This window comes from Homo sapiens, chromosome 15 (genome assembly GCF_000001405.40).
Source record: "Homo sapiens chromosome 15, GRCh38.p14 Primary Assembly".
Taxonomy (NCBI): domain Eukaryota; kingdom Metazoa; phylum Chordata; class Mammalia; order Primates; family Hominidae; genus Homo; species Homo sapiens.
In genome coordinates this window covers 34,544,216-34,571,392 of record NC_000015.10, presented here as the reverse complement: position 1 = coordinate 34,571,392, position 27,177 = coordinate 34,544,216, and the positions used below count along the sequence as shown (strand labels likewise).

The 27,177-nt window shown below is 46.0% G+C and overlaps 1 protein-coding gene and 1 pseudogene across 2 annotated transcripts in view, besides 1 other annotated feature; one reads left to right on the top strand and one right to left on the bottom strand.

The window, feature by feature from the left end:
- Positions 1-27,177, top strand: part of GOLGA8B (golgin A8 family member B) — a 58,557-nt gene that overhangs the window by 12,259 nt on the left and 19,121 nt on the right. For both annotated transcript variants that reach the window (NR_027410.2, NM_001023567.5), the window contains 6 exons: positions 17,437-17,648; positions 18,302-18,498; positions 20,117-20,255; positions 24,411-24,458; positions 25,967-26,015; positions 26,440-26,535. The gene's annotated coding sequence lies outside the window, so the exon portion shown is untranslated. The remainder of the gene's footprint in view (positions 1-17,436; positions 17,649-18,301; positions 18,499-20,116; positions 20,256-24,410; positions 24,459-25,966; positions 26,016-26,439; positions 26,536-27,177) is intronic.
- Positions 736-1,685: an enhancer, noted in NCBI's record as "H3K4me1 hESC enhancer chr15:34861909-34862858 (GRCh37/hg19 assembly coordinates)". NCBI's record gives its function as "activates a minimal SCP1, AML or CMV promoter by ChIP-STARR-seq in naive H9 embryonic stem cells {active_cell/tissue: H9 hESC(naive)}" and the evidence as "EXISTENCE:reporter gene assay evidence [ECO:0000049][PMID:30033119]".
- LOC100422492 (amyloid beta precursor protein binding family A member 2 pseudogene) lies at positions 14,521-15,617 on the bottom strand (annotated as a pseudogene).

Genomic DNA, 27,177 nt, shown 5'->3' with positions numbered 1-27,177 from the left:
TCTTTTTTCATTTTCCGCCAACCTTTCTCCTATATTCCTTTGAATAGATAAGCTTTATTTTTTTTTAATTAATTTATTTTTTGAGACTGTCTTACTTTGTCACCCAGGCTGGATTGCAGCGGTGCAAACACGGCTCATTGCAGCCTTGACTTCCTGGTCTCAAGTGATCCTCCCACCTCAGCCTCCCAAGTAGTAGGGTCCACCACGCCTGGCTAATTTTTGTGTTTTTTGTAGAGGTGGGGTTTTTCCAAGTTTCCCAGGCTGGTCTTGAACTGCTGAGCTTAAGTGATCCTCTTGCCTTGGCCTCCCAAAGTTCTGGGATTACAGGCATGAGCCACCCTACCCGGCCGCTAGATAAACTTTAGAATAAACTAAATTCATCCCATATTCTGATTGGGATTTTGATTAAGGTTGCTCTGTGGGTTTTATGGTGGGGGTTGGGGGTGGGGAGAGGAGAGAGCTTTTGTATTTTCTTCTCATCCAGATTTTGATTTATGTAAAAAGTCCTTTGCCTCCATCACTGGAGCTTCATTGCTTTATTCATGCATGTTTGTGCGTCTCTCACTTCTGCTGCTGTTGTCACTGGGATCATCCCCTCCTCTTGCCTTGTTTTCTAGCTGATCATGGCTGGTCTGTAGAAAAGTTGTTGCCTTTTAAATTTGTGGGCTGCCTGCCCACCTTGCTTCAGTCTCTCTGTTGATGTAAATGGTTTGTCATTCTTCCTCTCGTATTTTTTTATTGGAGAATCATTTGCCATCGTCGACCTTTCTTTTTTGTTATTTATGCCTTTTGTTATGGGGTCCATCGTGGAGGGGTGTTTGATACTAGTCCACTCTGCGATCCCTGGGGCCCTCCTCAGGAGGGCCTTTCTGCTTCATGGTCAGTGGGTTGGCTCTTTGACTGGGGGTCCCTGTAGCTCAGCAGTCCCCAGGGCAGCCGCTGTGTCACAGAGTGGAAGCAGGCCGGTGGACAGTTTAAGTGAGTTTTTTTCCCTGTGTGGCTGGGCAAGCTGGAGGAGAGGGGTCTTAGGGAGTGGTTTCTCCAGGCAAGGGCAGTGGTCTGGCAGGGGCTGTCACATGGGTGCTCACCCATGGGGGCCTTAGAGGATGTGGCTTTCTCTGCTGCTTGGCCTCAGGCAGGGGGCTCAGAGGGTCTCCTCAGGTGCTGTCAGTGGCTGTGGTGGTGGCAATGTCTGGGACCCATGCCAGCAAGCTGGCAGCCACTGGTAGCCTCAGCTGCTTCCTCCAAACGTGAGGACCCCCAGGCAGTGGTGGTGGCCCCCTGGTTGCACAGGCAGATGAGGGGTAGGGAGAAGAGGGTAGGGTACAGCTCTGGTTCTCAAAGCAGGTGGTGGGGCCAGCATGTGTGACTCAGTGGCCAAAGGGTCCATGGAGGTGGACCAAACTGGTTGAGGGGAGCCCCCACCCTGACTGTACCAGGAGATGCTGCCCGTGCCACCAAATTTCCACTGGGACCCATGGCCCCAGGGGAGGCCCTGGAATCTGTGAAGCTCAGGGTCATCCTCAGTTGTTCCCTGTCATTTATGTTCTAGCCTTGACCTTGGAGTGTCCGCCCTGCAGGAGCTGCCAGTTGCTGTGAGTTCCTCGTGCTTCCTTGTGACAAGTGGTAGGGAGTGGCTACTGCTAGGTTAGATTTTGTTATTTTGCACATCATAGACTTTTTACACTAGTTTCCATCATTTTCATTTAGTCTTTGTTCAGGGTGTTAACAGCTATCAATACCAGCTAACAATGTGTTTATGGTGATGGGCATCATTTTCTCATCTTATGAGATAAAGCAGCCAACCTAGTGCCTTTTGCATGAAGGTACTGATGCTCGGGGACTTGGGACTGATGGGTGGGTGTTGCCAGGATTTCAGCCTCTTCCAACAGGAGCTGCAGGGTGGCGTGATGTGGCCCCATGTTGCCCTGTGGTGGTAGGGCAGGGGAGTGGCGCCCAGAGGCATGGGGGTGGTCAGCTTTCCAGGAAGGTGATCCAGGCCCAGGAAGGTCCGAAGTGTGATGGAGGGGAGAGGGAGAGGAGAGGGAGCCTACCGGGAGGCGTGGGTCCAAGGCCTGGGTGTTTGTTAGTTTGTCGTCTTCCCATCTGCTAGGCATCCATTCTCTGTTGCGGTCCCCAAATGCCCCATTTCTGGCTTCATTCAGACGCAGTTCCTCTGCTCAGTGGAAGTGGAAGAGGTGGAACAGTTGTCTGTGCTGTCTTCAGAGCCGGTGGAGGCGGAGCTCGGCCAGCGTGTCACAGCCTAGTGGAAGAGCAACTAGCAAGAGAACCCGCTCTTCCCTGTGGCTCCTAGACACCTTGGTTGGAGGGTTGGCCAGGAGCAGGAGCAGGAAGAGCACTGTGGACAGAGCTGGCTCCTGGGACATGGGAGGCCTGTAGAATGCCTGCAGAATCAGCATGAGAGAGAGAGCGAGAGCGAGAGAGAGCGCACAAGCGCACGAGCGCGAGCGTACACAAGGCCAAGTAGCAGGCATGGCAGAGGGGAGATTCCAACCCCCTTCTGACTCTGGGGCCTATGAACTTAACCATCCAGTGGCAGGGCCTCTCAGCTGGAAATCAGTCACATGCTTCCCAGAAGGTATTTTTATGAGTCAATATACTTGACTTTGGGAATTGGCTATAAAGAGAAAATTTACTACGGGATTAAAGAAGTGTGTACTGGATTAATCTGGCAACCTCTTTTCTTTTTGAGACGGGATCTCACTATGTTGCTCAGACTGGAGTGCAGTGGTGTGATCTTGGCTCACTGCAGCCTTGACCACTTGAGCTCAAGTGATCCTCTCACCTCAGCCTCCAGAGTAGCTGGGATCACAGGCACGTGCCTCCATATCCAGCTGACTTATAAATGTTTCCTAGAGATGGGGTTTCACCATGTTGCCCAGGCTGATCTCGAACTCCTCTGCCTCCCAAAGTTGGCAACTTCTGAATGTGCTGCTCAGAGCTGCCTGTTTGCCAATGAACCAGGAATATGTTTTATACGTGAGGTTAATTTCATGTAGATAGAACACTGCTACAGGAGGCGGGGTGGGGTGATGTCAGAGAGCACTGGACAGATAATGAAGACGTCCCCTCGTCGCAGTCAAGCTGACCTCTTTTGGGGCTGTCGCCAGCTCAGTGGTGTCCACCTGCTGTCTGCAGTCTGAGAATCGGGGTGTCCTAAGCTCTCTCCAGCTCTGAAATCTTTAACTGTCTACTGGGTGTATTTGTCTGGAACCTTGCCTCCTGTCCCTGTGGTTCTGCATGTTGCCGGGTGTTTCTCAGGGACACCTGACTTTCCTGAGGGTCCCCAGCCCTGGTGGGAGAAGAGGTTGTGTGACGTCTGACACCCGGGAATTGGTGGGTCTCCATTATCTGAGGAGGGTGTACTTCCCAGGTTAGCTGGGCATGAGTTGAGTTTCAGTCGTATCCTTCCTTCCAGTTTGGGATGGGTTCTGAAATTTGTATTGCAAGTGATGAAAAAGGGGTAAGTGGCTTTTCATCTCAGTGGGGTTAGCTTTGTCATGGACCCCTGAGCTGAGAGATGGCATGATGAGAAGTCCAGTGCCTCAACCCATGCAGCCTTCTTGAGGACTTACTTGTATCATTGTGTGTTGCTTGAAAACCAGTAATCTGTATGGTAACTTTTAGGATTCTTGGTGTGGGTGGGTTTAATATCTGCCCGTGTGCGTCATTTCCTGGGTATCACTGAGGAATGGCTCTTTGATTTTCAATTTTAAACCCTTATCTTGCCACAGTCAGTCTTTTATACAGAGCAGAGTGCTGGAGATGGGCTGCAATGACAGTGTTCCTAATGGGATGGGTTTTATTTCGAGTGAGTGGACTGTGACAACTTTTAGGTACCTTCATGTGACTCTTCTCACAATAGCCGATTTTCTTCTCGTTTAATGGAAAATTAGTAGCTGCAGCCTGCTTCACGTCTCTGCCCCCGTGGTGGCCTGGGCAGACCCTGGCTCATCTCCCAGGGCAAATGTCAGACAGGCCAGCCACAGCCCAAGGAAGTGGGGGCAAAGGGGGCGCCCCAGTGTGATCTCGAGGGCCCATGTGGTTTTGTATGGAGGGCAGAGTTGTTGTGCTGTTGGCTTTTCAGCAGGAGCCAGGCAGAGCAGCTGTCCGTGGGCTGCCCTGTTGGCCAGGGATGTTGACCAGGATGTGGAAGGAATCAGGCGGTTGCCCCCGGCGGGATGGTCATTGCGGTGTCTCTGCACCTAAGTGATTTGTTTTCACAGACATCAATGCTCAGTATTGATCAACCTCAGGATCATCAATGCTTGGAAAGGGTAGAGCTTGTGTCCCATCAGAGATGTGACTCCGAATCTGTGGGTACTCTCCCCAGGCTGACTCATAAAATGAATGGGCACCTGAGCCACTCCATGTGATGCTGAAAACCGGGAGCACTTGGGTGACGCTTTCAGCCATGAAGTCTGCCTTTCCTCAGGGGAGTGGCCGCCGATGGTGTGTTTTCTATTTGAAGCAACTCTAAAGGGTCCCACCCAAGTTTCAGAAAGAAACTCAGGTTCTTGACATATGCAGGGGGAACCCTTTCATTTCTAAAATCTGTTAAAAATTTTACTATTGCTGAAAATATCCTCTTACGCATTTGCAGTGACACCTCCATCCTCACTGCAGTGACCCGTGAGTGCAGGCCTGTGCCCGTGACCTGGCTGGACCCTGGGGTTTTCCTGCGCCGCTGGCCCTGAGCTGCTTGTGCTGTCAACAGGGCAGCCCCCGTCTGGATAAGAGGTTCTGCGTGCTCCTTACAGTTCAAAGCAGGCTTGGGCCATCTTCCCTGCCTGCTGCCTTGTCCTCCAGTAGTAAATCACGCCCCTGTCACTCCCTGATGAAGCCACTCCACTGAGATTGTTGATTTTACACTGAGGCTTCTCTTTGTGATACCCCAGGCTCGTGGTTACCCGATGGAGGAAAACTTCTGGGAGAATCGGCTGGTGAGATGCCTGACACCGCTCTCCTGGCGTCTGACATCAAGGATATCTTAATTTTCTTAGTTTTTAAAAATTATGGTAAATACACAAAAGATGAAATTTACCATCTGAAATACTTCTACGTGTATGATTCTGTGGCATTAAATACACTCAGAGTGTTGTGCAACCATCACCACCATCCATCTCCAGAACTTTCTTCATCTTGCAATCTGAAACTCTGTGTCCACTAACTCCCCTTTCCGCCTCCCCCAGCCCCTGGCAGCCACCATTCTACTTTCTGTCTCTGAATTTGACGACTCCAGGTGCCACATGTGAGTGAAATCATACAATCATTTGTCTTTTTCCAACTGGCTTCTTTGACTTAGCGTGACGTTCTCAAGGCCCACCTGTGTTGTAGCGTGCGTCAGAACTTCCTTCCTTCTTAGGGCTAACTACTGTCCCCATTGTATGGGTAGGCCACACTTTGTTTGCCGTTCATCCCTCAGACATCAAGAATATCTCACATAGTAGAAAGAGTCAAAGAATCCAATGAGGGCTTCATCTTGGCCACTCATGCTCTCTGTAGCTCCACCCTCTGCAAGGGCTGGGTGGACAGCCCGAAGCTACCTGCTTATCCTGCATTGAGCAGACGGGCCTGGTGCCGGGCGCAGAGGATGCAAACTGGAGCAGGAGCCAGTTCCTGCCCTCAAAGTGCACAGCAACATGCACTCCAGCCTGGGCAACAAGAGAGAAACTCCGTCTCAGAAAAAAAAGAAAGAAAGAAAGAAAGAAAGAAACGGGAGCTGGGGAGAGGGGGCCTGGAGACGGGAGTCCCACATGGCCCTGCCCTCCGTACCTGGCTGAGCAACGCTTTCCAGTTCTTTTCCAGGGTTGTGGATGAGGCCCCACTGCCTGCGAAGAGAGGCCCTGATAAACCATCTGTTGCTTTGTTAAAGAGGGGACACCTTATCAATGATTCACGTTTCCTTCATTTTAAGCATGAAGAAATTAATCCAAGGGCCGGGCGCGGTGGCTCAAGCCTGTATTCCCAGCACTTTGGGAGGCCGAGGCGGGTGGATCACCTGAGGTCAGGAGTTCGAGACCAGCCTGGCCAACATGGGGAAACCCTGTCTCTACAAAAATACAAAAATTAGCCAGGCGTGGTGGCGGACGCCTGTAATCCCAGCTACTAGGGAGGCTGAGGCCACAGAATTGCTTGAACCTGGGAGGCGGAGGTTGCAGTGAGCCAAGATCACACCATTGCACTCCAGCCTGGGCGACAAGAGTGAGACTCCGTCTCAAAAAAAAAAAAAAAAAGAGAACTGGATCTAAGAGGCTGACCTGGCAGCTGGAAATTCTTCCTCCCCACAGCACCTTTTGGGGACTGGAGCTAAACTCAACCACCTTCTCCGTAGCCCCTGCCACCCACCCGGCTCTCAGCTGAAACATGGGCACAGGCCGTCCTGCTGCCAGTTTTCCAGCCCCTTAATTCATCCCTCAAGGCCACAAGGAAGCAAGGAAGACGTTTCTTAACCACAAATGTGCCATGTGTTTGTGCCAAGCCCTGTCTTGGCTCCTGTCACCTACAGGGTGGAGTCCAGACTCCATGGCATGACACAGGAAGTCCTCCCACATCTGGTCTCTGCCCACCTCTCTGCCTTCTTCCTATAATTTAGCCTTGCCAGCTCAAAGCTGGCCCCAAAGACCTCACACCCTTTTCGTTGGAACTTCTCATCTCTCCCTACACGCTTGCAAAAGTACCTGCAGAAAAAATCTTGTAAAACAATCAAGACCATAACATTCACATACCTTCTATTTGGTCAGTGCAGAGACACAGATCTTTGTTCCGAAATTTGCATTTAAATGCAAAGCTTCAGAGCCTGAAAACATCTAAAATTATACCCAGGACTGACAACTGGCCTAGACTCAATGTCTTTGGAATTTGCTCTACTAAATTTGCTACCGTTTGAATGTGTTCCCTCCAAAACTCAGCTGTTTCTAATGTGAATATGATGCAAAAAGTGAAAACCTTATACATCTTTACAGCAGCCTAGAAGTAAAGATGAAGCAATCCTTTTTTTTTTTTTTTTTTTTTTTAAGAATCTACAGTTACTACAACTAACTGAAAAAGTGGGAAATCTGGAGACCAACACATAGAAGAAGAAAAATGGCAGTCAAAGACTCACTCTCCAAATTGGACATTTATTTAAACCAGGGTTTCTCAGCCTCAGCGATGTGTATATACTGGGCCAGACAATTTGTGGAGGGTTCTCCTGTGTGTTGTAGGACGTTTAGTAACACCCCCTCTACCCAAGAGATGCCAATAGCACCTCCCATCATGACCAGTTGTGACAACCGAAAATGTCTCCAGATTATTTCCAGACATCCCATGGGGGGCAAAAATCTCCTTCAGTTGAAAATTACTGTGTTAACTAGAGCTACATCCTAGATCTTAGAAAAACATGTAAGCTTCCCAAGTCAGCCCTGCATACCATTGGTACGGAAATGAAATAAGAGCCTAGAAGGAAGGAAACAAAACTATAATCTTATTTAATATAAAAGTAAAAATGCAAAAATAAAACACTACCATATGCATTCTAACAGTGTTTATTATAGGAATACAAGGATGATTCAAAATTAGGAAAATTTCATCAGGTAATTCACAGATTATATTTCTACATAGAATTGAAGGCACAATCATGAAAAACAAAGTAGCTCTTTATGCTTTAAGTCCATGGTCTATTCTGTGAAAAACACAGGTTGCAGGTGTCTTACAGAAGGAAAACTGAACACTGAACACATATTTCTCCCATCTGCTCTTTTTCCTGAGGCTCCATGGGAATTACAGTGAAGAATAAAGATTGTATAAACACACACAATTACCAAAAAAAAGGGATGGGGTTACCAAGAGAAGAGAATTCACCTCCAATAGACAATGACAGTAAATGGGAAATGGTTAATTAATGAAGCAAAGCAAACAAAGGTGGAGGTTAGGGGGATACCGATAACAAGGAGGCTAATTTGTCCCACAGTACCCTGCAGAGGCACTAGACTCCGACACCAGGTACCCCGGAGAGTGGGACTGATAGGCAAGACTGAAAACAGATTAACCAAAAGCCTACATACAGAACACATTTTCCAGGCCCTGAAACACATGGTTCTCCCACATTTCCTTAAGCAGAACCCCAGCAAACATGTATCTACCTCAGGCAAGAGAACGTAGATTTCACCTCCAGAGGAATGGAGTAGTTCCTGCCATCATTTATGATTGCGCAAAGAGATAAGATAGAGGGGTGGGGATAACAATTGGGAATCAGCATAAATTCCCCCTAAAAACCCTTTCCCCTAAAAGCTATCAGTTGACAAGTCTTGGCCAGAAAGAACTCCCAAACTTCTTTTTTATTTATTTATTTATTTATTTATTTTTTGAGACAATGTCTCACTCTTTCGCCCAGGCTGGAATGCAGTGGCATGATCATAGCTCACTGCAGCCTCAATCTCCTGGGCTTAAGCAGTCCTCCCACCTCAGCCTCCTGAGTAGCTGGGACTACAGGCGGGCACCACCACATCCGGCTAATTTTTATTTTTTCTAGAGATGGGGGTCTCACTGTGTTGCCCAGGCTAGTCTTGAGCTCCTGGGCTCAAGTGATCCTCCCACCTCAGCCTCCCAAAGCACTGAGATTATAGATGTGAGCTACCACACCCAGCCTCCCAGTCAGTCTTTTAGTCCTTCTCTCAAATATGAATGAACAAAAGGGGGCATTTTAAAAAAGATGACAAATGATGAGCAACATAGAATAGATATTTTGGGAAAGGCTTTTGAAAGAAAAATAAGACCAAAATAAACTAAGAAAAAAATTATTAAAGAAAAAAGACATGCTAGGGAGAGGACAAAAGAGTATCAAAATAGCTCCTTAAAGACACTTGTGAATATATTACATCTATAAAACAAAACATAAAATATGAATAAGGAGTAATCAGAGAAGAAAAAGTTCTCAGAACTCAGGCTTCATCTTTGGAGTTGGTCCCCAATGAGCCACAACTCCTGTCATTCAGATCCTCGGAAGGGCCCATTCCACAGTGAATCAAGGTTGGCTCCGAGACTTCCTTTAACCTATAGAATGTGGTAGAAATGAAACTGGACCTGTTCTAGGTCTAAGCCTTAAGAACATCTGACAGCTTGCACTTTTGTGCTTCTGGAAGCCAAAAAGAAGAACTGACTATCCTCTTGGAGAAAGAGAAGCTACATGAAGAGGGCCAAGAGTATGAGATGCTATGTAGAAAGGCCACATGAAGAAACACCAAGGCAGCAGACCTGTGGGTGAAGAAGCCGTCTCAGACGTTCCACTGCAGCTGAGCATCCAGACGACCAGTCCCTGACACTGTCTAACTGCACAGTGAGAGCTGCCAAATGAGACCAGCAGAAAAACTGTCCAGCTAGCCCATTAACCCATACAATAGTGAGAGAGAGACAAATTTGCCGTTTTATGCCATTAAGTTTTGGGATAATTGGTTAAGCAACAATAAATAGCCAAAACAAAACTTAAAGTTACGACTAGCCAAATAAAATTTCCCAAAAGCTTGTATACACATGGTCACAGCAGCAGAATTCACATTAATCAAAAGGTAGAAACAACTCAAATGTCCCTCAGTGGATGAATGGATAAATGAAACTTAATATAGCCCTTCAGCTGCAGTGAGCCGAGATCACACCACTGCACTCCAGCCTGGGCGACGAGTGAAACTCCATCTCAAAAAGTAAAAATGAAAATAAAAACATAGCCATTCAGTGGAATATCATTCAGCCACAGAAATGAACGAAGTACTGACACGTGCTACAACAGGGATGAACCCTGAAAACATTATGTTGGTGAAATAAGCCAGACACTAAAGGGCACATATTGTCTGATCCCGTCTTTATGGAATATCCGGAATAGGCAAATCCAAAGTGAGAAAACAGATTTTTCATTGTGGGGGCTGCGGGGAGAGGGAAGAATGAGGAGTGACTGCTTAATAAGTACAGGGTCTCCTCTGGGGGCAGTGAAAATGTTCTGGAACTAAATATCAGAGGTGGTTGCACAACATTGTACTAAATGCCACTGAATTGTACACTTTAAAATGGTAAACTTTATGTTACAAGTGTATTACTACAATTTAAAAATAATGGGAGAAGCAAGAGTAAGGAGAGCCCTCTAAGGGTCTCAAACATACTGCCCTGTGAGAGCCCCTTCACCTAAGCTCTACGGAGGTCACCCGCCAGCTTGTACTGCGCTAACCCTCCAGTGACTGACACCCAGGCAAAGTGGGAGATGACCCAGGAAGGGGCTGGGTCAACCAGGCAGCAGAGGCAGCTGCCCATCAACCACTGACACCCCCTTCTCCTGGTCACCTGCCTCACATACCAGGTGCCACTCTGGGTCCGTTTGTGGGGAAGGTGGAAGCTCCGCCGCTTACAGCCCCCAGAGCTGCAGAACTAGGGAGAATTCCATTTGGTTTTGTTCAGTTCTCAAATGAGAAAATCTTCACCAACCCTTTCTAATACCATTGCTTAGGGGCCAGCATGGCTGGTTCTTCATGTTTGCTGCAAACACCTGCAATTTTTCCATCCTGCTAACTTAAAAGCAAGAAGCCCTGTGTGCATAGTTTAATGACAGCAACCTAGTGGGGCTAAAAATCATTCACGTGGCTCTATCGAAGGCTCAAGCCTGCAGTTCTCGCAGGAGGCTTGACCTGTGACCTCTCCTGTATTCACCCAGTGGCCTCCACACTCGGCCTCGAGCCCTGCACACATTCTGAGAAAACTAGCTTGACATCTGAAAAATGAATGTAACGATGGTGCCCAAGCCAGAAGGAAATTAAATGACCAATAGTAAGTCAGCATTAGATTTCAGTTTCCAGAGGGCATTTTCTACAGTATTTAACTTCCACTCATTTACACAGGCCAGATCTCTGTTCTCCTAATACGGGGAGTCCACAGTTCCGGTCAATAAGATTAGTCCTAATAAGAAAAAAACTGAGTTAGTCTCAATGGAACTGCCTAAGGCTACAGACATTAAAACAAAGGCCTACAACTCATAATTTGCAAAACAAGTTTCACCAGATGATCTATAAAGAAGATACCAATGATCCAGTTAACTTCACTAAATCTACCTGTCTACTTTTAGGAATATACACAGTAGAATATCTGGGATATTTAAACTTGTGGAAAAGGTGAAAGGATAGCAGAAATCGCTGTTATTTGATAGTGGATTTAACGATATCTGTTTATTTTAATGACACTCACAAGGCATGACCACAGTCACTTTACTATAAGCCACAGCCTGTAGGATCTGTGTTCCTTCCACTCCTGCCAAGGTGGGATCATGACCCATACAAGACCTAGGAGAGAAGGGGAGGCTCCCCCACTCCCACTCAGGATGTGGTTGTATTATTTACTCATGGCTCATTTTGGTCTTGAATGTCCTCCTGAAACCTCCCAGGGATGTGCCCACGCACCGCCCCACGACCACACACGCCAGGTCCGCAGGTCCACAGGCCTGAATGGGTGTAATCACAGCTCATCCCTACTGTGGCTACATCAAAATAGTTTTGATTTGGCCCAAAATGTTTTTGCTTCTTTGTGGGTGATACAGTTTGGATATTTGTCCCCACCTCAATCTCATATTGAAATGCAATCCCCAATGCTGGTGGTGGGGCCTGGTGGGAGGTAAGTGTCTGGATCATGGGGCAAATCTCTCATGAATGACTTGGGCCATCCTCTTGGTGATAGGTGAACTCTTGCTCTGAGTTCACAAGAGATCTGGCTGTTTACAAGTGTGTAGCACGCCCCCTGCACAGCCCCCTGATCAATCAATCTCTCTCTCTCTCCCCCATTCTCACCACGTGAAGTGCTAGAACAGCCTAATCCAGTATGATTCTGGCTACATGGGTTCAGCCTGGCTCAACTTAGCTTTAGAGGGTCCAAATTGGCTCGAGCCCGTTCATCATCCAAAAACCTTTTATTTCTTATTTCTTTTATTGTGGTAAATATACATAATGTAAAATTTATCATCTTAACCATTTTTAGGTGTAGAGTTCAGTGGCATTAAGTACATTCACACTGTTGTGCCGTCTTCACCACCATGCATCTCCAGAACTTTTCCATCTTCACAACAGAACCTCTGCACCCATTAAACACCAGCTCCCCACTCCCTGCTCTCTCCAGCCCCTGGCCACCCGCATTCTACTTCCTGTCTCTGTGACTCTACTGTGGGTGCCTCAGAGAAGTGGAATGACACAGTACTTGTCCTTTTGTGACTGGCTCTAGCAGGATGTCCTCAAGGTTTATCCATATTGTAGCCTGTGTCAGAATTTCCTTCCCTTTTCAGGGTGAATGAAATTCTATTGCATGTGAAATCCTTTTATTTTGTACCGTGTTCGCTATGCCAGCGGCTCAGAAGAGCAAGAGGAGCCCTGACCCGCCACTGCTTTGTCTGTGGAGTGGGTTTTGAGGGCTGGGGAATGGCTGGATGACCCCCCTCTCTTGAAGATGAACACAAATATTTCTAAAAGTGGCTAGCATGCTATTGTTCACATATTTGGGACCCAATGAATGAATCAAGAGGGGGCAGACAGGCTCCAGAGGCAGAATCAGAGGCCACCTGCAAGCAGATGAGCCGAAGGACAGAGGCTGATGAGACGAGGGTAAATGAGTGATGCCGCCACACACAGCAACAGCCTCCACCCTGATGTCGCACCCGAGCAGCTCTTGGGGAGTGATGTCTCCCCACCTTAAGTCCAGCTCAGGCTCCCTGACGTGCACAGCCTGGCTGCACCCAGAGCAGACCCGGTGGGCCACCCATGGGGCAGACCCAGAAGTGAGTCAGCACCCAGTGTCTCTTAAAAGGCCCAGTGTCTCTTCAAGGCTGAGTGCGGTGGCTAACACCTGTAACCCCAGCATTTTGGGAGGCTGAGGTGGGTGGATCACCTGAGGTCAGGAGTTCTAGACCAGCCTGGCCAACATGGTGAGACCCTGTCTCTACAAAAATATGAAAATTAGCCGAGCATGATTGCGGGTGCCTGTAATCCCAGCTACTCGGGAGGTTGAGACAGAAGAACTGCTTGAGCCCGGGAGGCAGAGATTGCAGTGAGCTGAGATCACGCCATTGCACTCCAGCCTGGGCAACACAGCAAGACTCCATCTCAAAAAAAAAAAAAAAAAAACCCAGGACCAGACAGAAGCCTGGACCACAGGCAGCTGTTGACACTGCAGGAGTGGAACAGCTTCTATGAGCCTAGCCCAAACATCCTTCAGCTACAACAGTTTGGGCCTTGGCTTGGTCTCAGCTGGAGAGAGATCACCTTCTCTTCTCTGAAGGTTGACTGGGGAGTTGGGGGCAGACGTGGGTGTGGCAGGTCTTGGAGGCCTCTATCAGGCCAGGGGGCTCCATTTCATTCCACATCTCCTTTCTGCACATGTCTGAGTTGTGCGTAGTTTTCCTGAGCTGCTCATGGTATTATGTGACATAGGATTAGGAGTTATTCTTGGTCAGCCCCCTATTACCATAGTCCCTTGGGGTAAAATTCCCATGCCTGCCATCACCATAGGACTTCCTATGCATCCCACAGCCCCCTGTAAACACAGAATTGCTGTGAATGACAGGAACAGCCCCAAAGTGAAGTCAACTGACACAATGTGTTCTAGAGAGAAGACAAGACATTAAGATACAAGTGCTGAAAATCCAGGAGTCAATATGATTTCCATTCCAAACCCAAGCTCTCAGTACACAGACACACACACACACACACACACACACACACACACACACATTCATGAATTCTTCTCAGAAAAAAATAGTAGTTAAAGCTTTAAAAAATATGAAAGCAGTCCACATAATTGGCCAAATAGAAGTTCCTTCACCCGAGTCCAATAATCACATCTTCTATAATATATACTCACAGTGAGGCTTTTTTTTGGAAGGCGGCTTTTCAAATGTGTTTATTAGAATGCACGCTGACTTTGCTATAATTAAAATACAGTTATGCTGACATCCACTGCCCTCATTAGCATGCGTTTCTTCCCCGAGGTTTTGTCACACCGTCAAAAAATCCTTTTCCAAATAGGTATTCACAGCTGATTGCCCGTCAGGCCAAGGCCCCCCAGCTTTCAGACACCCGTCCATTGTGAAATGCACTCTGGCCCCGACCCCAGCCACCAGGCCACCCAACACTGGCCGCAGCAGTGGGTGAGCACCAGCACCCCCACGTCTTTGCCACTGCCCTGCTGGTCTGAGTACACCCCTGAGGATTGAGGGGCTCTCCCACACATACTGCCCCACCATGAGCAGACCCAGGGCAGTGGGCAAGAAATTGAACCTGTCTTCTAGGGTGGGAGGAGGGGTGTCTTCTGCGACACACGAGTTGCCCCTCAGCCCTCAACCGGCTTTAGTCCTGAGTCTGAGCGGTGAGCTTAAGAGTGGCCGGAGCATCCACGCAACATGTCTCCCAACTGGACCAATGAAGAGCTCAGCCACCATTAGAACTGTAAGGCACCCAGTACTGCCCACCTCCTCGCTTCAGCATCTGCGAGGCCTGTACCCTGAGGTCCCTTGCTCTAGGGCCCCTCTGCTCCCTTCCCCGGGACAGCTAGAGTCCTACCTGCTCGTGAGGCCACTTCAGCCTCTCTTCTGGGGTCTGGTCTTGGACTTGAAGCCTCTCTGGGGGTCTCCGGGGTGCTTGGCCTCGGGAAGGAGGTTCAGCGACTTGGGCCTCGCCTCTTGCCTGCTGGGGCTGCAGCTGGCCTTGATGGGTGGGCAGCCCTCTGCAGAGTCCGCAGGCCCTGGCTCAGGTCCATGCTCGGGGATGGCCTCACTGGTGCTGGTGATGCTGGTCATACTCAGGCTTATCTTGATCTCTGCCACGATCTGGTCGATGTCCTCCTCCTGGTCCTCCAGGTCCCCGTCCCCGCACCTCAGGGGGTAGGCAGAAGCGCTGGTGTTCCCGTTAGCCTCCACAGGGTAGTAGTCCTGGTAGCCCTCTTTGCTGGGACAGTAGTGACCGTCTTCTTCCTGGTCGTGGGCCTCCAGGACGGAGGACACATCCTCCGTGATGGGCAGTTGGCCATCAGGGTAGTCCTGGCTACCTTTAGCCCCGTGACCATGGGGGTGCAGGCCCGCCCAGGCCGTCCAGTCCACTGCATCCTGGCACCCGTCAGTGTCCATAGGATGCGCGCCGTGGGCCAGGTACACCTGCCCATTGCAGTCCATGCCCTCCAGGTAGCTTTGGTCCTCAGGGCAGTAGCGGATGTAGTAGGGGATGCCCTCCTCCTCCTCAGGGAGGCCCTCATCATAGTCGTCCTCCTCAGAGGTGTCGTTCACGTAGTCGGAACTGGAGTCCCCATCGGGGCTGTGGTTGTGGCACTCCTGCTTCTTGGGCGTGGGGCTCTCTGGCCGCAGGGTGACCAGCTCCAGGCCCTCGGGCACATAGTCCTCCAAGGGCAGCTCCACGTCCTCGCTCTCGGGCTCCTGGTGGTGGGGGACAGGACCCGGCCTTGCCCCGTGGTCCAACATGCTGCTCCCCGCGCTCTGACGCTTCTGGTGGGCCATGGTAGACGCTTCCGGTGGGCCATGGTAGACTCTTCTGGTGGGGCATGGCGGGCGCTCACACAGCCATCATTCCCCAGAGGCAGCCACTGTGTGGAGGAACATTGGCAAGGACAGAGTCAGAACCCCACAAAGCCTGGCCACGTGTGGGGCCACTCCACCGCCACAGCACCTCCAACCACGTTCTCCCACAGCACTGTGAAAAATGATAGCTGAAGATTTTCATTGCCGCAATCTCTTAAAAAACTGGAAACAACCTAAGTACCCATAAATAAGAGAATGTTTAAAAAAATGACGGCAGAGTTCACGTGCTGGAAGAGTTGGTGGCATTTTTAAAGAGGCAGGGCAACACGTACTACAGTGAGGGATTTTACAGGCCTATTTTTGAGGGAAAATGGCAAGTGAGCTACAGCAAGCGCACGTGTGTAGATCCCAGTTACAGGTCCGTCAAGATGTCTAGAGAATACACACACCGCCCAGCCCATACATACACGCAAAGGCACACAGAAAGGGGAAACCCCTCAAAGGCTTGTCAGCCACATCCTCTGGGGAGGGGAGGGGGGAGAGAGGTGGGAGGGGGGAGAGAGGTGGGAGGGGAGAGAGAGGTGGGAGCAGAGGGGGCCTGGACATTTTACTTTATTAAAGATGTATGTAGTGGTTGAGTGTTTCACCAAAACGCATTTAATATTCACCTGCATTATAATCAAATCCACCTGTGCACCTTTGAGGGTCTCCTCTTCTAGCTGGGGAGATATCAGCACTGAGACAAAACAACCTGTGGGGAAGGGCAGACAGCGAAGGGAGGAAGCAGGACTTCCCCCGTGGGCTGCTGCTCTGGGCATCAGGAGAGGTGACAAACAAGCTGGTCTCCTCTAGGAAGGCAGCCACTGGAGCAGAGGAGCCAGCCTCCCACAAGATCAGGACATGAGCACGCCACAGGGCACAGCCAGAGACACCTGAGACACAGGAGGCGGTGCTGACCCAAGGGAGGGCAGGACCGGGGGATGTGCCGGCCAGGACAGCCAGGGGTGCGCAGGCAGGCAGTATTAATTTGGGGAAAACTAAATCATTCGGTTTCATTCAATGAGTAGTTTGCATGCAAATGTGTGTGGCGGGGGTGTGTGGTGTGTTCATGAGATACAGTGTGTGTGGTGTGTATGTGGTAAATGTGTAGTATGGTGTGGGTGTGTGGTGTTTGTGTGTGTATGGTGGTGGGACGTCCTGGAGGGTGTGGTGTGTGGAGTGTACTGTGTATGGTGTGTGGTATGTGGTGTGGTGTGATGTGAATGTGATATGTGCGTGTGGTGTGTGTGGAGTGTGATGTGTGGTGTGTGTGGAGTGTAATGTAGTGTGGAAGGCTTGAGCGTGTATGTATGTTTTGTGTGCGTGGTGTAGTGTTTGTGGTGTGTGATATGTATGCAGTGTGTGTAATGTGTGTGGTTGGTGTGTGGTGTGTATGGGGTATGTGTGTGGTGTGTATGAGGTGGGCATGGTATGTGTGTGGTGCATGTACGTATGCACACACATGCACACATGTGCACTGCAGGTGACAGGCAGACCGGCAGCCTGGGACATGCAGCGGTGATCAGCTCAGCCAGGGCAGGGCTCAGGGTGAGAGTGGCCAGGCCCCTGGCAGCTCAGGACCCTGGATGAGAGTCCAGGAGGAAAGAACAAGCTGTGTCCCCATCTCCACCCAAGTTCATCACTAACATGAACCTATAGTCTGCACTGAAACTGTTCCACTTCTGATTAGAATCAGAAACACTTCCAGACAGGCTCAGCACAGCCAAGTGGGGACTGTCCTACAACGACACGGTGTAGCGGTGGGCAAAGGAATCATGGCAGCAGCTACCTTTTGTTTTTTAAAATGTGAAACCTTTCTGAATGGCTTAAGCAACATCTATTTAATTTAACAGCTCTACTGAGATGAAGAAAGAAAAAGAATACCTGCTCAGCTCCAGAGACACGTAAAGGGACAGAGATTGGGGGACAGAAGGAAGTGCATTAATTCCTTCCACGACCCCTGAAGAGCAGCGGTGGGTCTGAGCATCCTATCTCCAGGAAGCAGGCCAGCAGGCAAGCCAGCTGCCACCTCGTCCTGTGCAAAGCACAGGCACCGTCCCCAAAAGTAGGCAAATGACTATCTTATTTGTTCAGGGGAAGCAAAATGGTCCAGGGTTGGTAGCCGCGTTTTTTTCCCAACAAGACCTAACTGCTGTCATCTTTCTCTGGGACCCAGACTCCGTGAATAGAGGGAAAGGCGGCCAGCAGAACCCAAACTGTTCTGCCACAGGCTCCTCCCCACAGAGCACAGCTCAGTGCAACAGAGTCCCCAAATCCAAGATGCAGAATCCACAAAGAGAAAACCTTCTGCTCCAGAAGGTACTTACAGGAAGTCAAAATTAAAAACACATCTTCTTATGGTTCTTTTTTTCTAACATAATCCATTATTTCTTACTGCAAAACCTAGATGTTTACCATTTGTAACCAGAAATAGTTTCTCATAAAACAATCATAAAATGTAAGTTATTCAGTGACCCATCTCTCTGGAAAAGAATAACACAGTATGAAATTGAGGTATTGCCCCAAAAATCAAGACGATGGGCCCTGAAACTCTAAATACTTGAATTTTTAAGTAACTTCATATCAAGCCCATTTAATAGAAACTATGTCAAGCAGACACACTATTAGAACTGATACGAAAGTAAAATTTCAAACTGACACAGCTGTATCAAAAAAATATATAAATGAAAAGAGAAAAATTGCTTCATTGCCTTTTAGGATTTCCAAAGATGATGTTAAACCCAGCCACGGTTCTGATCTCCAGGAAAGCAATTGCTGTGGTACAAAAGGACAAGGGTTAAAAGAGAACAGTGGGAGCTCTCTTTCCCAACTAACTCACGCAGTGTGACGCAGAGGCTTTCAGCACAGCCCAGGGTGCCCGGGACTGAAAACTCCTTCACCAGCCCCCTCCACAGGTGGGAAATACTCGGATCTTCATTCTTGTGACACAAGACCTTGAAAGTTGCTGAAAAATGCTAGTCCCGTCTGACTGGGGCAGCATTTTCATTTATTGCACACCATTGGGTTTTTTTGTTTGTTTGTTTTTGTGGCTTTATTTGTTTATTTTTTTTGAGATGGAGTTTTACTCTGTTGGCCAGCCTGGAGTGCAGTGGCACAATCTTTGCTCACTGCAACCTCTGCCTCCCAGGTTCAAGCAATTCTCCTGCCTCAGCCTCCCGAGTAGCTGGGATTACAGGTGCGTGCCACCACGCCCGGCTAATTTTTGTATTTTTTTAGTAGAGACAGAGTGTCACCATGTTGGCCAGGCTAGTCTTGAACTCCTGACCTCAAGTGACCCACCCACCTCGGCCTCCCAAAGTGCTGGGATTACAAGCTTGAGCCACTATGCCCAACCACCATTAAGATTTTGGCAGGAATCATTGTGCTAGACACCACTATCCCACCAATCACTGAGCACTTTTCATTTCCTGCCGCTGGTGCTGTTGGATACCTTACGGCAAGCTGCCGTCCCTGCCCACCCACCTGAGGACAGGAACCTCCAACTCTGCCTTGCCAGAACTGACCAGTGTGTCTGACAGATGGTGAGTCCTTTGCTGTACATGGCCCTCAAAAAAATGAGACAATTCTTTCACTCAGACCAAAGTAAGCAAATGCTGAAAGACCTTATAATGAAACATCACATTCCCCAATCTGGACTTCCCCACTCCGCTGGCCAACTTTGTCGTTTCTGATTTTAATTCTACTGGTGATTATTTTCCACCTCTCTAAATAATTTTTGAACTCTCTTTCTGGGTATATCAACTTCGGATACTATTGATTGGCGTCCCATTATGAGAGGTGAGCTTTGCAGACCACAACCTCCCAGGCTCTGATGCAAGTGAACAGAGGATGGCACCAGCTGCTGCAGTTATGCAGAGGGGCTTTCCATTCTTAGCAAGAGCACTGGGATAAAAGAGATCCTTCCAAGAGCTCCCACCTAACTGTGGGAACACAGAAGCATCCTTTAAAAGCCCTGTGGTCACACAGCCTTCAGCATGCATACAGGCTCTTTTCTTAACTTTATAAAGCCCCAGATAGGCTGGTACTAACATGGTGCAACCCTGTCTCTACTAAAAATATACACAAATTAGCTGGGCGTGGTGATGGGTGTCTGAAATCCCAGCTACTCAGGAGACTGAGGCATGAGAATCACTTGAACCTGGGAGGCAGAGTTTGTAGTGAGCAGAGATCACCCCTGTATACGCCCACCTGGGTGACAGAGTGAGACTCTGTTTTAAAAAAGGAAATAAAAATTAAAGAAGTAAATAAATAAATGATGGCTTATTTCTTAATAGTTATGACTTTGTAAAGCTTTGAAATCTGCTTTACCCAGAGTGTAGCTTTTAAATAAAATGTAGGATATAGAAGGTGGGAGCCTCTTGAATGGAATGTGGGGGCTTTTCCTCTCTCCCCGTAGGATAGATATATTCTGTTTCTTGTCCCCCATTGAGTCAAGAATAATTTAACTTTTGGCATAAGAAACTGCTGAAGAAAAATAGGTTGAATAAGCTAACATTTTTCTTCTTTTTGCAGGATATAGAAGACTTAGATCACTACGAGATGAAAGCAGAGCCCATTAGTGGGAAAAAGTTGGAGGATGAAGGAATTGAAAAAGAAAATTTGGCAATATTAGAGAAATTAGGAAGACTGAAAGACAAGAGCATTTAACTGCGTAAGTGTGTATAAATAGCTAGAGCCTGGATTTTTGTTTAAGTAATTATAGTTAATCCCAGGCAATTCATGAACATGCCAATCTCAGCTGCTCTCCTCCATTCCTGCCTTAGTGGTAGATTCAGTCACATGTTTATTGGTTTTGAGACAGGGTCTTGCTCTGTCGCCTGGGCTAGAGTGCGGTGGCACAATCATAGTTCACTGAAGCCTTGATCTCCTGGGCTCCAGTGATCCTCCTGCCTCACCCTCCCAAGTGTCTTGGACTATGGGCATGAGCCACCACACCAGGCTAATTTTTTAGATTTTTAGTAGAGATGGGGTCTCACTATGTTGATCATGCTGGTCTTGAACACCTGAGTTCACGCGATCCTCCTACCTCAGCCTGCCAAAGTGCTGGGATTACAGGCATGAGCCACTGTCCCTAGCCACGGTCATATGTTCTCTTGCCCAAGGTTATCTTTCTCATCTATGAACAGCCACTTTTTACCCTGTTCATCTGCTGTTCACATCCTGGAACCACCTGCTGATCCCTGTATATGCCCCTTTCCAGCCTGTTTATGCTGTTTTCTCTGCTTACTTTCCTTCTGTGGCATCTGTATATTCACATTCATTCTCTCCTACAAAACACAACTCAAATTATTTCTCCTTCGTGAAGGTGACTTTGGTCCATCCTGCTCTGACCAAATCAAAACTAATTCTTCTCTTTTGACTTAACATCTCTTTTATGTGAAGTGGCAGGATGTGAAAGGAACACTGAGTGTGGTGACAAACACACCTTTTTTGGTTTCACTTTGCTCAACTCTAAAGTATGGATAGATAGTACATACCTTTTGGATGACTGCTGTGAAAAATCAATGAGAATGATGTGTGTGTATACATGAAATGCTCAGACAGAGTAGGGAAACGTCAGATGATTGTCTGAACACTTACTACTTCCTGCCTTGTATTAGAGCTATTTACCAACTCCATGAAAGCCGAGGACCAGTTACTTTGTCTTGGGCACAGGTTCTCCAAAACAGGGAATGAATTGTTAGGCAAGTAGATGCCAAGTGTTGAAACCAGATAGATTACTCTCCCTCCTTCAGTCTTAGTTATATATTAATTTAATTAGTAATTTTTCCCAGAGGAAAGAAATTTAGTCCATTTCTCATATCTTATTTAAAAAACTGAGTTTGTAGCATTTGAAATAATGTTACTGTACTTTCCGTGTCTTGTGATCGATTCCAGTTTGAGTTATCTTCAAAACAAGTATAAATTATTGAACACTTTTGCATGACCGATACTATGTTAAGTACTTTATACTTTATAGATGCGCTCATTTAGTCTTCATAGCCGCTGTGTGAAATAGGTGCTCTTCATAGTTTAGAGATAGGAGAAACTTCTCATATTTTATAGATAGGAAATGAGGTCATGGTTACATATCTAGGAAGTGAGATCTTCGTAAACTTGATTTTTTTTCTTTTTCAAAGTATAGTGCAGTCTTTAAAACCTTTAGTTTCACATGACTAAAAAGTAGTTCCATTTCTACTTAGTCTTAGGATAAGATATCGATGTGTTTTCATCTTTAGAGAAGTCCCCACACTGAAAAACTGAAACCAGTTGCATGTAGGTACACGTGTTTCTCAGTGTGTCAATGTGTGAACTAGACCATCTGTGTAATATTCTTGCTTGTAGTCTTATGAATGGAAGTCTCTCTTAGTCAGTAATGTGTCACCTTGAGTGTCTTCTAGCATTTTCAAAAATTGCTGGGGTTTGGAATAGACTCATACTAAATTCTGTGCTATCATGGAGTCCATGGTGGTCTGAACATGTTGGCTAGAGTTTTTCAGATGATAAGAAATAGGAAACGAACCAGACTTGTGTCTAGTTTTATATTCTCTTGAAACTTCATAATGCTTCATTTAATTGGACTTTTTTTTTTTTTTTTTACTTCTTGAAATGTTGAGTGTTGGAAATGTTTTTATAGGTCCATCGAAATTTTTTTGTCATTTTCTTGATAGAGTGAACTCTTGCTTGATTTTTATCTTCTAGGAAAAAGCTCAAGCTTGAATAATATTGGTTGGAAAGTAAACAAGAGTAATATATTTCATTATACAGAGAATGATTGCCAAGTTGATTTTTATGACTTTTCCCCCAGTTTTGAAAGCAATATAATTAACTCTTATTGTAGATGTAGTTATGTTATTACTTTTAAAATACGTCGGTGTAGTACACCTGTAGTACAAGCTACTATGGATGGTGGGAGGCTGAGGCAGGAAGATCTTTTGAGCTTGGAGACGTTAAGGCTGCACATGAGCTGTGATTGCACCATTATATTCCACCCTGGGTGAGAGAGCGAGACACCTTGTCTCTTAAAACAAACAAACAAACAAACAAACGAAAAGGGAGTGGGGGATGGGAGTCATATTAGAAATCTATATATAGGACAGTTGTGGAAAAATACCGATTTTTTAGTGATTTAACTTTTCATAGTTCCGTCCATGGCAAATTGTTCTCCTTGAACTGCTTGACTAATAATACAAGTTTAGGAAAGCATATTAAACTTCTTTTGAATTCTTGAGAAAATTATATACATGTGACTGTTTTCCTTTAGAATGACTGCAAACTCTGAACCCCCTTATTAGATTAGATTTAGGCTATTATGATCTCTTTTGGACATTCATTCTAAAGGAGCTGGAAGCTATAGTGACCTCTGTTTTTCCTGAGGATATAGAGCAGCTTAAGATCTTCTCTTTCTTGAACTTAGCCTAGGTGCTCTATTTTAGCTTTCAGATTGGTTCATTTTTGAGTTAGTTGAAAAAAAAATATCTTTTTGTTTGAACTGTTTTTTGTTTTGTGATTCTTCGGGTTGACCCTGCTAGTCCTTTGCACAGTGATCTTCAGATCTTAAAAGAAAAAGAAGGCATAGGAGATACTTTGCTTAACTTATCTTTTAAGGTAATAAAATTGTTACGGGACTCTGTTTTTCTAATGGGAGTGTATATTTGTACAAGTGTTTTGGAAAACAATTTGGTAAAGTGGAAGATACTCATACACTATGGTTCAGGAATCTTGTGGATATATACTCCACAAGAAATGAGTACATAGGCACCAGGAGACACCGGAATGTTCAGAGTAGCATCATTTATCATAACCCCAAACAGAAAGTAACCCAGGTGTTCATTCCAAGAAAATGAAGAATTGTGGTATTCATAAAATGGCTTACAGCTATGTGGGAAAGATGGACGAACCTTGAACACTATGTTAAGCGAAAGAGACCAGAGCCCCAAAACCTATTTTGTACAATTTCCTCTATATAGAGTTCAACAATAGGGAAAACTAATGTTGGTTAGGGCATACATTCTTAGTGGAGGCAATATCGCCTGCAGTGGAGTGAAAATTGGTCCTTAGAGTGAAAGAAAATCTTACCTATTATAATGGTCTGCTGCCCTCCAAAGGGCCGTATAACATAAACCGACATACAGTATATCTGTGGTGTTAAAATTCCATGGGGAGTGGGGATAGAATTAGGAAGAAAACTTCTAAAAAGGCTTCTTAGGGGGACAAAAGTGAAAAGAAAACAGAGAAACACTTATTTCTGGATTCATACTTGGGCAGTAAAACTATTAAGAACAAAGAGGTGATCACATAGAGGTTAGGGGAAGGAGTCCATCCAGGTGGGAGGTAGGGATGTGTGACCTGAAAGGGACATCTGTGGGCTTCTTGGATACTGGCTGGAATATATTTCAGGACCAGGTTGGTGGTTACATGGGCAAATAATTTACAATAACTTGTTAAGGTATACCTTCAGGTATATTTTATGTAACTTTCTGAATGTATGTGTTATATTTAATAAAGTATTTTTAAGATACTGAAAATAAAGGTTACAAAGGAATAACGATGGAATCTAGAAGAAATGTTAGTGATCTAGAAGAAATGTTAATGGAATCTAGATAAGATGTAATGGTTTAAAATCTATGGCTATATGCGGTATTTTGATGAAAAAAACAGACATAAAAGAATACTTTCTTGTACTTACTCTAAGGATGGTAGTAGTTTTCTAAAAGCTTCGTACTTAGCTTTTTGTGTGTATATTTTTGCTTGTGGATATATCTTATGATTGAACTTTCTTGATATGACCCTAATGTCAGTATTTTCTCTCACTTTTGTTATATAGAAACTGTTGTCGTTGTCAACTGGGTTGTCTTCCTGAAGTATGAATCCGGTATGTATTGCCTGAATTTGCTAATGGCTACTTCTTTATGGATTCATACGGGGTAACGAATAAAGCACGCAGGCCTAAAACAAAAAAAACAAAACACAAAAAAACTAGGAAGGTATCTTCCTTTTTTAAAACATTAAATCATACATCCATATGCCCAACACCAAACTTAAGAAATAGAACCTTTGGCTGGGCGTGGTGGCTCATGCCTATAATCCTAGCACTTTGGGAGGCCAAGGCAGGCAGATCACCTGAGGTCAGGAGTTGAAGAGCAGGCTGGCCAACATGGTGAAACCCCTTCTCTACTAAAAATACAAAAATATTAGCCAGGCATGGTGGCGGGCGCCTGTAATGTAACCCCCGCTTCGTGGGAGGCTGAGCTGGGAGAATCACTTGAACCCAGGAGGCAGGGGTTGCAGTGGGCCGAGATTGTGCCATTGCACTCCAGCCTTGGTGACGAGAGAAACTCCGTCTCAAAAAATACATATATATAAAAGAAATAAAACCTTATCAGTACCTGTAGCACCCTGTGTGCCCCTCCCTCGTCATGTCCTCTTTGGGAGGTATCTTGAAGGAAATACGAAATCTTGGCCAGGAAACTGGAGGATTCGTGACTGCAGGTGGTGTTTTCATTATTTTTTCCTGCTTTAGCTAGAACTTCAGGGAAGGGACGATGTGGGAGGTAAATGGCTGAAACTCTATTGGATTTGTGTTTGTGGCCAATGGCTCCTGATACCAGAAAGAAGGGCCTTTTTCTGTGGTTGGAGTATTTCTTAAGAGTCCTGAGAAAAATGTGATGCCTTGAGCTAACTGACCTTCTGAAGAGGACCTTAAACTGAATTTCCAAGTTATTAGTGTCGGGATTCACAGACTTTGGAGAATAGCAGGTATGACTTGGAAAGATGTACAGGAAGGAGCCAGAACAATATATATTTATAGGCTCTGATGTCCACAGTGACAACTTGAGCACCATGAATACTAAGCAAAATGGTACTGGAGATAAAGTATAACACAAAGATGGGATTGAGGGCAGGAGGGAATGCGACCTGGTCAGCAACTTGGTAAATCCAACTTGCTATGTTTTTAAGGAAGTTGTTTTCTGATGTTACAGGCAGCATCGGAATTACTAAATTGAATTCTGAGGTAGTGCTTTAAAGAAATGCGTTCTTCTGCCCCTATTCTTTGGAATACTTACTAAGTATGCTTACTATTCCTATTCTTGGGAATACTTGGCTAAGTTCTTAGTTTTTGATATCATAAAAATTCAAAGTATTCTGTTCTAAGAGCCATTGCAAATAGTTGACTAGAATTTCAGAGCAATTACATGAGAGTAATACCAACAGAGTTTTTAAGTTACCCATAGTCCTGTATCCCTAACAAGTATGTTCATGCTTGCATGTTCTCTTCTCATGTTTACTGTGTGCATACTTTCTTAGTAATGGCATGTAGAAATTGTTTAAGCAGGAATAATTCTCGAGATAGTTTTGTATGTTTCCTTTTTTCTTTCTAAGGTATGTATTGTGTGGAGGAGCATTACGTACTGAACTTCTCACAAAACAGGTGATTATTTTCTTATAATACTCAATTTTCACCCTCAATAGAGTGTTTCGATTACGTAAGTTAGGTTGTAAGTAGAAGGTTCTCTTCAAGAAATTTTAGTGTTTTTTTTTCATAGCTCCTACTTTCAAGAATGAAAAAGGTAAACCAGTAAAATGACACTGTACTTGGTGCTGCATCTATGCTGGGATAGGCATTAAGAGTGACCTTTATTTAAGGTTCTAATTTGCTCATGTAGGCCACTTGCAACATCCGTTTGTTGTTTTTGGTGAGATTCTGGAAATGGTCCAATTTTACTTTTTCCCCTTGACTCCAGACTTTTTAACACTGATGTGCTGCTGTTGAGGCATATGCCGTTTTGTTAGGCCTCCTCAAGTGGGAATCAGGAATGCTGCTGTTTTCTAGAGATGTTTTTTCCTTCCTGTAGGGCTGAAGCAGTGCCTACTCGACAGAACCGGTCATCGTACAAAGAAATGCCACGTGACTCAAAGGCAAAGCCAGAGTGCAGCTTGGAGCAAAGAAGGTATTTTATTAAGAATTTTCCATAAACCATAAGATATATTTTATATTACTTTGTGAGCCTTCTGCCTGTCTTGACTTAATTCTTTTTGAGAGAATTTGTTTCATTTTCATTTGGTTTGTTTTCTTCTTGTTACAAAGATGATCTATAGAAAATATAGAAGTATCATTTCTTTATTATTGCTTTTTTCCCGCCTCTGTGCCTATGCTTACCAAGTCTTTTTTTTACTTTTTATTAACTCTTTCAATCCTCTTAATAACTTAAAAAGAGGGTATTACTAATATCTGCATCTTGTGGATGAGGTAACTGAAGGTAGGTAACTTGTCCAAGGTCACAGGTGGCAGAGCAAGGATTAAAACCAGACCGTCTGGCTGCCCAAGGCCCAAGCAAGAGGAGCTGAGAGCAAGCCATTGGGGAGAAGGATGTTGGTCAGGCTGGTTTCCTGTTCAGTTACCATGAAACGCAGGCTTAACCTTAATTCTAGGACATTACCAAGAAAGCCTTGCAAAGCCATAGGTTTTTTACCATGACCATGACTTTCAGCAAGAATTTGTGGTTTAAAGGCAGCGTGGTGCTCTAAGAAGCTTCCGTTCACTCTTACAGAGGGACTGCTGGTTGAGCTAAATAGTGAAATCCTGGTGGAGC